The 12,778-nt window shown below is 43.3% G+C and overlaps 1 pseudogene, besides 2 other annotated features; it reads left to right on the top strand.

Annotated features, from left to right (window-relative positions):
* Positions 1,905 to 2,404: an enhancer, noted in NCBI's record as "H3K4me1 hESC enhancer chr2:55669679-55670178 (GRCh37/hg19 assembly coordinates)". NCBI's record gives its function as "activates a minimal SCP1, AML or CMV promoter by ChIP-STARR-seq in naive H9 embryonic stem cells {active_cell/tissue: H9 hESC(naive)}" and the evidence as "EXISTENCE:reporter gene assay evidence [ECO:0000049][PMID:30033119]".
* Positions 2,405 to 2,906: an enhancer, noted in NCBI's record as "H3K4me1 hESC enhancer chr2:55669177-55669678 (GRCh37/hg19 assembly coordinates)". NCBI's record gives its function as "activates a minimal SCP1, AML or CMV promoter by ChIP-STARR-seq in naive H9 embryonic stem cells {active_cell/tissue: H9 hESC(naive)}" and the evidence as "EXISTENCE:reporter gene assay evidence [ECO:0000049][PMID:30033119]".
* BTF3P5 (basic transcription factor 3 pseudogene 5) lies at positions 9,228 to 10,051 on the top strand (annotated as a pseudogene).

Raw genomic sequence — 12,778 nt, 5'->3', positions numbered from 1 at the left:
GTTTTGAGTGAGTTTCTTAATCCTGAGTCCTAGTTTGATTGCACTGTGGTCTGAGAGACAGTTTGTTATAATGTCTGATCTTTTACATTTGCTGAGGAGAGCTTTACTTCCAACTATGTGGTCAATTTTGGAATAGGTGTGGTGTGGTGCTTAAAAAAATGTATATTCTGTTGATTTGGGGTGGAGAGTTCTGTAGATGTTTATTAGGTCCACTTGGTGCAGAGCTGAGTTCAAGTCCTGGGTATCTTTGTTAACTTTCTGTCACGTTGATCTGTCTAATGTTGACAGTGGGGTGTTAAAGTCTCCCATTATTATTGTGTGGGAGTCTAAGTCTCTTTGTAGGTCACTCAGGACTTGCTCTATGAATCTGGGTGCTCCTGTATTGGGTGCATATATATTTAGGATAGTTAGCTCTTCTTGTTGAATTGATCCCTTTACCAGTATGTAATGGCCTTCTTTGTCTCTTTTGATCTTTGTTGGTTTAAAGTCTGCTTTATCAGAGACTAGGATTGCAAACCCTGCCTTTTTCTGTTTTCCATTTGCTTGATAGATCTTCCTCCATCCTTTTATTTTGAGACTATGTGTGTCTCTGCTTGTGAGATGGGTTTCCTGAATACAGCACACTGATGGGTCTTGACTCTTTATCGAATTTACCAGTCTGTGTCTTTTAATTGGAGCATTTAGTCCATTTATATTTAAAGTTAATATTATTATGTGTGAATTTGATCCTGTCATTATGATGTTAGCTGGTTGTTTTGCTCGTTCGTTGATGCAGTTTCTTCCTAGCCTTGATGGTCTTTACAATTTGGCATGATTTTGCAGTGGCTGGTACCGGTTGTTCCTTTCCATGTTTAGTGCTTCCTTCAGGAGCTCTTTTAGGGCAGGCCTGGTGGTGACAAAATCTCTCAGCATTTGCTTGTCTGTAAAGTATTTTATTTCTCCTTCACTTATGAAGCTTAGTTTGGCTGGATATGAATTTCTGGGTTGAAAATTCTTTTCTTTAAGAATGTTGAATATTGGCCCCCACTCTCTTCTGGCTTGTAGCGTTTCTGCCAAGCGATCTGCTGTTAGTCTGATGGGCTTCCCTTTGTGGGTAACCCGACCTTTCTCTCTGGCTGCCCTTAACATTTTTTCCTTCATTTCAACTTTGGTGAATCAGACAATTATGTGTCTTGGAGTTGCTCTTCTCGAGGAGTATCTTTGTGGCGTTCTCTGTATTTCCTGAATCTGAATGTTGGCCTGCCTTACTAGACTGGGGAAGTTCTCCTGGATAATATCCTGCAAAGTGTTTTCCAACTTGGTTCCATTCTCCCCATCACTTTCAGGTACGCCAATCAGACGTAGACTGGGTGTTTTCACATAGTCCCATATTTCTTGGAGGCTTTGTTCGTTTCTTTTTATTCTTTTTTCTCTAAATTCCCTTCTCGCTTCATTTCATTCATTTCATCTTCCCTCACTGATACACTTTCTTCCAGTTGATCGTATTGGCTCCTGAGGCTTCTTCATTCGTCACGTAGTTCTCGAGCCTTGGCTTTCAGCTGCATCAGCTCCTTTAAGCACTCCTCTGTGTTGGTTATTCTAGTTACACATTCGTCTAAATTTGTTTCAAAGTTTTCAACTTCTTTGCCTTTGGTTTGAATTTCCCCTGTAGCTCGGAGTAGTTTGATCGTCTGAAGCCTTCTTCTCTCAACTCGTCAAAGTCATTCTCCGTCCAGCTTTGTTTCATTGCTGGTGAGGAGCTGCGTTCCTTTGGAGGAGGAGAGGCGCTCTCCTTTTTAGAGTTTCCAGTTTTTCTGCTCTGTTTTTTCCCCATCTTTGTGGTTTTATCTACTTTTGGTCTTTGATGATGGTGATGTACAGATGGGTTTTTGGTGTGGATGTCCTTTCTGTTTGTTAGTTTTCCTTCTAACAGACAGGACCCTCAGCTGCAGGTCTGTTGGAGTTTTCTAGAGGTCCACTCCAGACCCTGTTTGCCTGGGTACCAGCAGCAGTGGCTGCAGAACAGTGGATTTTCGTGAACTGTGAATGCTGCTGTCTGATCGTTCCTCTGCAAGTTTTATCTCAGAGGAGTACCTGGCCGTGTGAGGTATCAGTCTGCCCCTACTGGGGGGTGCCTCCCAGTTAGGCTGCTTGGGGGTCAGGGACCCACTTGAGGAGGCAGTCTGCCCATTCTCAGATCTCCAGCTGCATGCTGGGAGAACCACTGCTCTCTTCAAAGCTGTCAGACAGGGACATTTAAGTCTGCAGAGGTAACTGCTGTCTTTTTATTTGTCTGTGCCCTGCCCCCAGAGGTGGGGCCTACAGAGGCAGGCAGGCCTCCTTGAGCTGTGGTGGGCTCCACCCAGTTCAAGCTTCCCGGCTGCTTTGTTTACCTAAGCAAGCCTCGGCAATGGCGGGCGCCCCTCCCCCAGCCTCGCTGCCGCCTTGCAGTTTGATCTCACACTGCTGTGCTAGCAATCAGCAAGACTCCATGGGCGTAGGACCCTCTGAGCCATGTGCGGGATATAATCTCCTGGTGCGCCGTTTTTTAAGCTGGTCGGAAAAGCGCAGTATCGGGGTGGGAGTGACCCGATTTTCCAGGTGCCATCTGTCACCCCTTTCTTTGACTAGGAAAGGGAACTCCCTGACCCCTTGTGCTTCCCGAGTGAGGCAATGCCTCGCCCCGCTCCGACTCGCGCACGGTGCGCTGCATCCACTGTCCGGCGCCCACTGTCTGTCACTCCCTAGTGAGACGAACCCGGTACCTCAGATGGAAATGCAGAAATCACCTGTCTTCTGCATTACTCACGCTGGGAGCTATAGACCGGAGCTGTTCCTATTCGGCCATCTTGGCTCCACCCTACTAGTGTTATTTTCTTGATTTTGATCATTTTACTCAATTATGTAAGATTAAACATTTGGAGAAGTTGGGTGAAGAGTGTACAAGAATTCTTTGCACTATTTTTGCTATTCATGTGTAAGTCTAAAATATTTCATAATGAAAACTTTAAAAATATATATTAATATATATATTCCTGTTTACAAGTCTTTCCAGACTCTTCTAATATATGTATTAGCAATAGACATATTTGTATATAGATAGAGCTTTGTTTTGATTTGTTTTACAGAAACGGAATTGCATTGTACATGACTCTTTTTTTTTTTTCCACTCAACAATTGTATTAGCTCCTTTTTGAGTGTTGGCTTATCTCACAAAGACCTAGTTTGCTTCCTCCTCCTTAGAGAGGCTCCAGACAACCATATCTCTACTATATGACATCATTCCTTGGTCACAGATAATCAGACCACGTGTGGACATCTGACCCAACCTGTGACATCAGATTCTTTCTACCAGGAATTTGAAACTGGGACCATAATATTCTTATTCAGACTGAGCTATTCTCCTGAGTGATGGAAATTTTAAAACTTCAAAGCTGAGGTACAACTGTAACCCGATGTATGAATTGAAAAGTAGAGACAATTGCAAGGCAGAGAGATGAGACCAGAGAAGCAGGGACAAGATATGAGAAGGCACTTCCTGGGATCCTAGTTGATAACCATTTTCTTATCTCATGCTCTTTTTGAGGACTTCTGCTGTGGGATTCCACAAGACGCATTCAAATCTTTATAATACATTTCCTTTAATGCTCATGCCAGCTCTCAAGAGGCAGAGCTCACATCAGTTGTATTTTCAAAATTAATTTGAGGTGGGGTACGGTGGCTCATGCCTGTAATCCTAGCACTTTGGGAGGCTGAGGCATGTGGATCACTTGAGGTAAGGAGTTCTAAACCAGCCTGGCCAACTTGGTGAAACCTCGTCTCTACTAAAAAAAAAAAAAAAAAAAAAAATCTGGGCATGGTGGTGGATGCCTGTAATCCCAGCTACTCGGGAGGCTGAGGCTGAAGAATCACTTGAACCTAGGAGGCAGATGTTGCAGTGAGCCAAGATTGCAACACTGCACTCCAGCCTGGGTGAGACAGCGAGATTCCATCAAAAACAACAACAACAAAAAACTAATTATCAAAAATTGTAATTGTTTATGTAAAGAATTGCTGGCGAGGCATGGTGGCTCACACTGTACACAGCACTTTGGGAGGCTGAGGCAGGCGGATCACTTGAGGTCAGGAGCTCAAGACCAGCCTGGCCAACATGGTGAAACCCTATCGCTTCTAAAAATACAAAATTAGCTGGGCGTAGTGGCGCATACTTGTAATCCCAGCTACTGGGAGGCTGAGGCAGGAGAATCGCTTGAACCTGGGAGGGCAGAATTGCAGTGACCCAAGATCCTGCCATTACACTCCAGCCTGGGCAACAAGAGCGAAACTCAGTTTCAGACAAAAAAAATTGTTAACTAGGTACTGATGAACCGAAAGTGCTAAAGGAAAACACTTGTTGAATAAACAATTTTTCATTGAAAAATTTCTATAGAAAAATTACATGAATAGTACAAAGGAACACCTGTATACCTTTCAGTTGGATTGACCAATTGACTTTCTCCATGTTTGCTTTCTTTTTTTTTTTTTTTTAGATGGAGTCTCGCTCTCTCACCCAGGCTGGAGTGAAGTGGCACAATCTCGGCTCACTGCAACCTCTGCCTCCCGGGTTCAAGTGATTCTCCAGCCTCAGCCTCCCGAGTAGCTGGGATTACAGGTGCCCACCACCATGCCCAGCTAATTTTTGTATTTTTGTAGAGATGAGGATTCTCCATGTCAGCCAGGCTGGTTTTGAACTTCTGACTTCAGGTGATCCACCTGCCTTGGCCTTCTAAAGTGCTGGGATTATGGGTGTGAGCCACTACACCTGGACTATTTTCTTATTTTTTAAAACATTTACTGATGAATCATTCAGACACATTTAAACATCACTTTTGAAGATTTCAAAAGTTTCTATGAAAAAAGTCCTTATGCATTAGAGATGCATACTGGAAGTATTTATGGCTGAAATGGCATGTCTGAGGTTTGCTTTAAGGTACATCAGCAAGGCCAGGTGCTGTGGCTCACACCTGTAACTGCAACACTTTGGGAGGTCAAGGCAGAATGATCGCTTGAAGCCAGGAGTTCAAGACCAGCCTGGCCAACATGGCAAAACCCCATCTGTACTGAAAATACAAAAATTAGCTGGATGTGGTGGCCCATGCCTGTAATCCCAACTACTTGGGAGGCTGAAGCACAAGAATTGATTGAATCCAAGAGACAGAGGTTGCAGTGAGCAAAGATTGCACCACTGCACTTCAGCCTGGGCAACAGAGTGAGACTCTGTCTTAAAAAAATAAAAATGAAAATAAAGTACATCAGCAAAAGGAGATAAAAAGTGGGGGAGGGATGTGTAAATAATAAAGCAAAATAGTGACCACTGTTAAAGCTAAGTCATGGGTTTATTATACTATTTTCTCAATTTTTACGTATGTTTGAAAATTTACAAACTGAAAAGTAAAAAAAAAAAAAGTTCCCTTAACTATTTCTTTTTAAAAAAAAGATCAAATTGGAACCATTTGGCATTATATTATGTAAAATCCAGCTCTTGGCTGGGTGTGGCAGTTCATGCCTGTAATCCCAGTACTTTGGGAGGCTGAGGTGGGAGGACTGCTTGAGCCCAGGAGCTTGAGAGGAGCTTGGGCAACATAACAAGACCCCATAGCTAAAACAAGAAAAATTTAAAAACAAATTAACCAGGCATGATGGTGCACACCTGTAGTCCCAGCTATTCAGGAGGCTTAGGTGGGAGGCTCGCTTGAGCCCAAGAGGTCAAGGCTGCAGTGAGTAGTGATTGCACCACTGCATTCCAGCCTGGGCAATAGAAAAAACTTAAAAAAAAAAAAAGAGAGAGAGAGAGAGAAAAAGAAAGAAAGAAAGAAAGAAAGAAAGAAAGAAAGAAAGAAAGAAGGAAGAAAGGAAAAAAAATCAAGGTTATATTAGCTTTATATAAAGAGTTAGAAAATGTTTTCTCTTTTTTTATTCTTTGAAAATATATACTGTATTGTTACAGGACCTTTGGGGTATTACTTTTCTGGCCAGAAATCTCTGTGGTCAGTGGCACCTTTGCCCACGTTATTGTCCTGTGTCCAGGAAGAATGAGGTACACAGACAAGTGGAGGGTGAGCAAGATGAATACGAGCTTCATTGAGTGTTAGAACAGCTCAGAGGAGACCTGTAGTGGGTGACTCCTGTCTGCAGGCAGGTCGTCCTGATAAACATTCAGCCCTTAGCAGAGAGGGTGGCTCCTCTCTGTAGCTGGTCATTCCAGCGTCTGCAGCTCTCAGTGGAGAGGAGGCCCTGGAGAAGATAGCTCCTCTCTGCAGCTGGTTTTCCCAGTGTCTGCCCTGCTGTGGTTGAGTCTAGGGGTTTTTATGGTCTTCAGAGGGGTGAAATGCATGCTGATAGGTCCACGAGCAGCCATGGGTGAGCCCAGGAAAAGGCGCCATGAGTTCTGCCTCCAGTACACAGGAGTGGCAGCCCAGCCCCCAGCTTTGAGGCCTTCCCCTGTGTAAAGGTGGGGCTTCACCAGCTTCCTGCCCCCTTCTGCCCAGGAACCTGTCTGCCTCCGGCTGCTGTTCGTGTTTCACAGGCTATTCATGCCAAGGGACACCTGCAAGCCAATGCTGAGCTGCCCTCAGCCTCCCCTCGGCTTCCCTCCCGCACTCGTGGGTGCCCAAAGTCCGGAGGGGACTGAGGCAGCAGGGGGCTGGCATGTCAGGGCTGCCCCAATCATGTGCCCACCTGGCTGGGCTGTGACAGTGCCTGGGCTCGGCCCCAACCTTGCTCCACAATTGCAGTGGGTACTGGGAGCAGGGAGAAGCCAGGCAGTGGGAGCAGGCACTTTGTTCCTGTGGGGGGCCTTCCTGGGCCCCCAAGAGCACAGAGATGCCCAGTTCCAAAGCTAGGCTTGGGCAGCTGCAGCTGCACCCAGGGAGATCCTGCCTCACTAACTCGGAAGGGGTGAGGCTCCCATTTGTCCCCAGCTCCCGCCAGCTCCATGGAATGTGCAGTCCCAGCCACACCTCCGAGATGGGAGCAGGCACTGACAGCAGGAGAAACCAGGCAATGAGAGCAAGCACTTCTGAGCCTGCAGGGGGAAGGGAGGTCTTCCTGGGCACCCAAGACCACAGAGATGCTGGGGTCTGGACCTGCACCAGAGTAGCTGTGGTGGCACCCAGGGAGACTTGGGCAGCACCTCCCTCCTGCAGCCATCATGGCAGCAGCCAGTCTAGATGGGCCGCTGCTGCCACCAGCATTAGTTTCCTATTGCTGCTGTAACAAATTACCACAAAGTTAGTAGCCTGCAACACTGCATATATATTATCTTTCAGTTCTGGAGGTCAGAAGTCTAAAATAGGTTAGCAGGCTGTATTCCTTCTGGAGGTTCTGAGGGAAAATCTGTTTCCTTGCCTTTTCCAGCTTCTACTTCTAGAAGCTATCTATATTTCAAGATTCATGATCCCTTTGAAGATCTTCTATCTTCCAAGTTGACAGTATAACATCTTCAAATTTCTCTCACTCTCTGACACATTATTTCCTTTTATAAGGGCCCCTGTGATTGCACTGAGCCCACCTGGATAATCCAGGATACTCTTTCCATCCCAAGATCTTTAATGTAGTCACATCTGCAAAGCCTTTTTCCCCTTGAAAAGTAACATATTCAGTTTTCAGGGATTAGGAGGTGTACATCTTTGGGGTACTATTATTCTTTCTCCAAAATATATGTAAGCTTAGTGTTATTTCTTCCTTAAATGTTTGGAAGAACGTACCAGTGAAACCATGTGGGACTGAGGTTTTATTTGTGGGAAGGTTTATAATAATACATTTAAGTTATTTAATACGTAATAGACTCTTCAGGCTTGGTATGGTGACTTGTGTCTGTAATTGCAGCACTTTGGGAGGCCAAGGCTTCAAACTCTTGGCCTCAAGTGATCCTTCTGCCTCAGCCTCATGAGTAGGTGGGACTATAGGCATATGTCACAATGGCTGGCTTTGATCACTGATTTCTGATGTTACTATTTTAATTGTTTTGGGGCACCATAAACCACATCCATATAACATGGTAAACTTACTCAATAAAGGTTGTGTGTGTTCTGACTGTCCCACCAACTAGCTATTATCCCGTCTCTGTCTCTCTCCTCTGGCCTTCATGTGAGACAACAATATTAAAATTAATCTACTTAATAACCCTACAACAGCCTCTGAGTATTCAAATGAAAGAAAGAGTTGGATGTCTCTCACTTTAAATCAAAAGCCAGGAATGATTAATTTTACAACTAAGATTAATGTTAGTTGTCATCTTCTCAAGGCATGTTAAAAGCCAAGATAGGCCAAAAGCTAGCCTCTTATGCCAAACAGTCAAGTTGTGAATGAAAAGGAAAAGTTCTTTTTTTTTTTTTTTTTTTTTTTTTTGAGACAGGGTATTCTCCGTCACCTAGGCTGGAATGCAGTAGCATGATGATGGCTCACTGTAGCCTTGACCTCCGGAGCTCAAGCCATCTTCCTACTTTGGCCTACCCCAAGTAGTTAGGACCACAGACGTAAGCCACCATGCCTGGCTAATTTTTAAATTTTTTATAGAGACTGGGTCTCCGCATGTTGCTCAGGGTGGTCAAAAGCTCATGGGCTCAAGCAATGTGCCCACCTTGGCCTCTTAAAGTGCTGGGATTACAGGCATGAGCCACTGCACTAAGTCTAAGAAATGTTCTTGAAAGAAATTAACACGCAAATAAGAAAGTGAGAATGTGAGAAAGTGAGAAAGGCTGTTGCCAATATGGAGAAAGTTTTAGCGGTCTGGATAGATCAAACCAGCCACAACATTCCCTTAACTTAAGGCAAGAAAGTTAGCAAGGCCCTAACTCTCTTCAGTTCTGTGAAGCTGAGACAGGTAAGCATGCTGCAAAAGAAAAGTTGGAAGGTAGTGGAGGTTGGTTCATGAAATTTCATGAAGAAGCTGTCTCCATAACATGAAAGTGCAAGGTGAACAGCAAGTGTTAATACAGAAGCTGCAGCAAATTATCCAGAAGACCTAGCTAAGATTATTGATCAAGGTGGCTACACTAAATAACAGATTTTTAATGTATACAAAATAGCCCTCTATCAGAGGAAGATGCCATCTAGGACTTTCAAAGCTAGAGAGAAGTCAATGCCTAGCTTCAAAGAACAGACTGACTTTCTTGGTGGGGGCTAATGCAGATGGTGACTTTAACTTGAAGCCGATGCTCATTTAGCATTCCAAAAATTATAAGGCCCTTAAGAATTACGCTAAATTGGTGTGTACACCCAATCTCAGCTGGTCCACCCAAGACCCCCTGAGCACCAACCCTAGTCCCCCGGGTGGCCCCTTATCCACTCCGACAAGATGAAAGAAGCAATCATGAACCAGGAAAAACTCGCAAACTGCAGGCACAAGTGCGCATTGGTGGGAAAGAACTGCTTGCAGAAAGAAGGTGGTTCATAGAGCAGCCGCAGCAGATGATAAAAAACTTCAATTCTCCTTAAAGAAGTTAGGGGTAAACAATATCTCTGGTATTGAAGAGGTGAATATGTTTACAAACCAAGGAACAGTAACCACTTTAACAACCCTAAAGTTCAGGCATCTCTGGCAGCGAACACTTTCACCGTTACAGGCCATGCTCAGATAAAGCAGCTGGCAGAAATGCTACCCAGCATCTTAAACCAGCTTGGTACAGGCAGTCTGACTAATTTAAGGAGACTGGATGAAGCTCTGCCCAACAATCTGTGGATGGAAAAGCACCACTTGCTACTGGCGAGGATGATGATGATGAAGTTCCAGATCTTGTGGAGAAATTTGAAGAGGCTTCCAAGAATGGGGCAAACTGAATTGAGTCAACTTCTGAAGATAAAACTTAAAGTTACTGGGAGCTGCTATTTTATATTATGACTGCTTTTTAAGAAATTTTTGTTTATGGATCTGATAAAATCTAGATCTCTAATATTTTTAAGCCCAAGCCCCTTGGACACTGCAGCTCTTTTCAGTTTTTGCTTATACACAGTTCATTCTTTGCAGCTAATTAAACCAAAGAAACTTGGGAATCAAGTTTGAAACAAAGGTTAATAAAGTTCTTTGCCTAGTTAAAAAAAAGAAAGAATTATACTAAATCTACTCTGCCTGTGCTCTATTAAAGGAGCACCAAAGTCCACCTGACAGCACATCTGTTTACAGCATGGTTTACCGAATATTATAAGCCCACTGTTGAGACCTGCTGCTCAGGAAAAAAAAGATTCCTTTCAAAATAACATTGCTAGGGCCCAGTGCAGTGGCTCACGCCTGTAATCCCAGCACTTTGGGAGGCTGAGGCGGGTGGATCATGAGGCCAGGAGTTCGAGACCAACCTGACCAACATGGTGAAACCCCATCTCTACTAAAAATACAAAAATTAGCATGGCGTAGTGGCGTGTGCCTGTAATCCCAGCTACTCGAGAGGCTGAGGCAGGAGAATCGCTTGAACCAGGGAGGCAGAGGTTGCAGTGAGCTGAGATTGCACCATTGCACTCCAGCTTGGGCAACAGAGCAAGATTCCATCTAAAATAAATAAGTAAATAAATAAAAATAACATTGCTCACTGACAATGTACCTGGTCATCTAAGAGCCCTGCTGGAGGTATACAAGGAGATTAATGTTTTCCTGCCTGCTAACACAACATCCATTCTGCGGCCCACAGATCAAGGAATAATTCAACTTTCATCTTGTTATTTGTTTGGAGAAAAAGTCTCAAAGTGTTGTTTCCCTCTGCTCTCACACCACAACAATCAACACAGAAGGCTTCTGTGGCTAAATGTGTGGGGATTTTTGCCCACCAACAAGCAGTGAACACCAATCTGATACTACCTGGAGACAGATCAGATCCCACAGGTTGAGGGCTCAGTCCTCAAGGCTAATCCCCAAGCTTCAGACACAAGTCACAAGTCTGGGCCTGGTGAACTTCTGACTGTCTTCAAGTTGGAGTCCCCACAACCACTTCTTTGGGTTCAATTGATTTGCTGGAGTGGCTCACCGAACTCAGGGAAACATTTATTAATACATTTACTGGTTTATTATAAAGGACATTATAAAGGATACACATGAAGAGAAGTATACAGTGAGGTATAGGTGAAGGAGCACGGAGGTTCCATGTCTTCTCTGAGTGCACCATACTGTAGGAACCTCCACATATTCAGCTATCTGGAAGCACTCCAAATCCTGCTCTTTTGGGTTTCAGAGAGGTTTCGTTACATAGGCATGATTAATTAAACCATTGGCCATTGGTGTTCAATTAACCTTTGTCCCCTTATCCCCTCACCGGAGGTTGGGGGATGGGGTTGAAAGTCCCTATCCTCTAATCATGCTTTGGTCTTTCCAGTGACCACTCCCAACCTGAAGCTATTACTCAATATTAGCCGTACAAAGAGACAGCACTTTGGAGATTCCAAGGATTTTAGGAGTTGTGTGCCAGGAAATGGGGAAAAAGCCCAAATATACATTTCATGATATGACATTAAGAAATATGCTATAGCTGCCAATGATAGTGATTTCTGTGATGGTTCTGGAAAAAATACCTTGAATACCTTCTGGAAAGAGTTCACCATTCTAGATGTCTTTTCGAATATCCACGATTCATAGGAGGTCAAAATATTAATATTAACAGAAGTTTGGAAGAAGTTTATTCCAACCCTTATGGTTGACTTTGAGGGGTTCAAGACTTCAGGGGAGGAGGTAACTGTGGTGGAAATGGTAAGAGAACTAGAAGTGGAACCTGAAGAAGTAGTTGAACTGCTGCAATCTCATGATAAAACTTGAACGAATGAGTAGTTACTTCTGATAGATGAGCAAAGAAAGTGGTTTCTTGAGATGGAATATACTCTCAAGTGAAGATACCATGAACATTGTTGAAATGACGACAAGAACTTAGGATATTCCATAAAATTAGTGAATAAAGCAATGGCAGGGTTTGAGAGGATCGACCTCAATTTTTAAAGAAGTTCTACTGTGGGTACAATGCTATCAAGCAGCAGCTCATGCTACAAAGAACTCTTTTGTGAAAGGAAGAGCCAATCAATGTAGCACACTTCATTACTGTCTTATTTGAAGAAATTGCCACAGCCACCCTAACCTTCAATAACTACCATTCTGATTGATTAGGAGCCAGCAACATTAAGATAAGACCCTCCACCAGCAAAATAATTTTGGGTCATTGAAGGCTCAGATGATCATTAGCATTTTTTAGCAATAGAGTATTTTTTAATGCAGGTATATATATTTTTTTATACATAATGCTACTGCACACTTAATAGACTACAGTATAGTATAAACATAACTTCTTATGCACTGGGAAACCAAAAAATTTGTATCTCCTGCTTTATTGCAATATTCGCTTTATTGCAGTGGTCTAGAACCAAACTACTCCAAGGTGTGGCTATACTTAAAATCATGATGTCTTAATTTGTTTGCTTAAAATATATCTGCATGTGTATTCTAAGCAGATAAATCAAGACATGATTATTCATATTATTAGAGGTAAGTGAAATTTAGAGAGAGGTCTCCAGGCTAGACCATATTCATTTCTCTCTTTGAACTCCTGTGGTTGTTGCTGTCTACACTATCCCCTTACTACTCGAAGTGTAATTTCAGAGGTATTCCTGTAATTGTAATATAATGCCAGCATATGTTTTTTATGTTACAAAACATAACAAACATTATTTCAGGAAAATCGAAATACCATCAACAAATGAAATGTGAAATAATGCCCTTGATAGTAATTTCTTTTCCTTTCTACCAATAGAGGGCAACATGAACAAGTTGCTGACTTGATGGCAGTGTTCA

Source organism: Homo sapiens, chromosome 2 (assembly GCF_000001405.40).
Source record: "Homo sapiens chromosome 2, GRCh38.p14 Primary Assembly".
NCBI lineage: Eukaryota > Metazoa > Chordata > Mammalia > Primates > Hominidae > Homo > Homo sapiens.
This window is presented reverse-complemented; position numbering and strand designations above follow the sequence as displayed.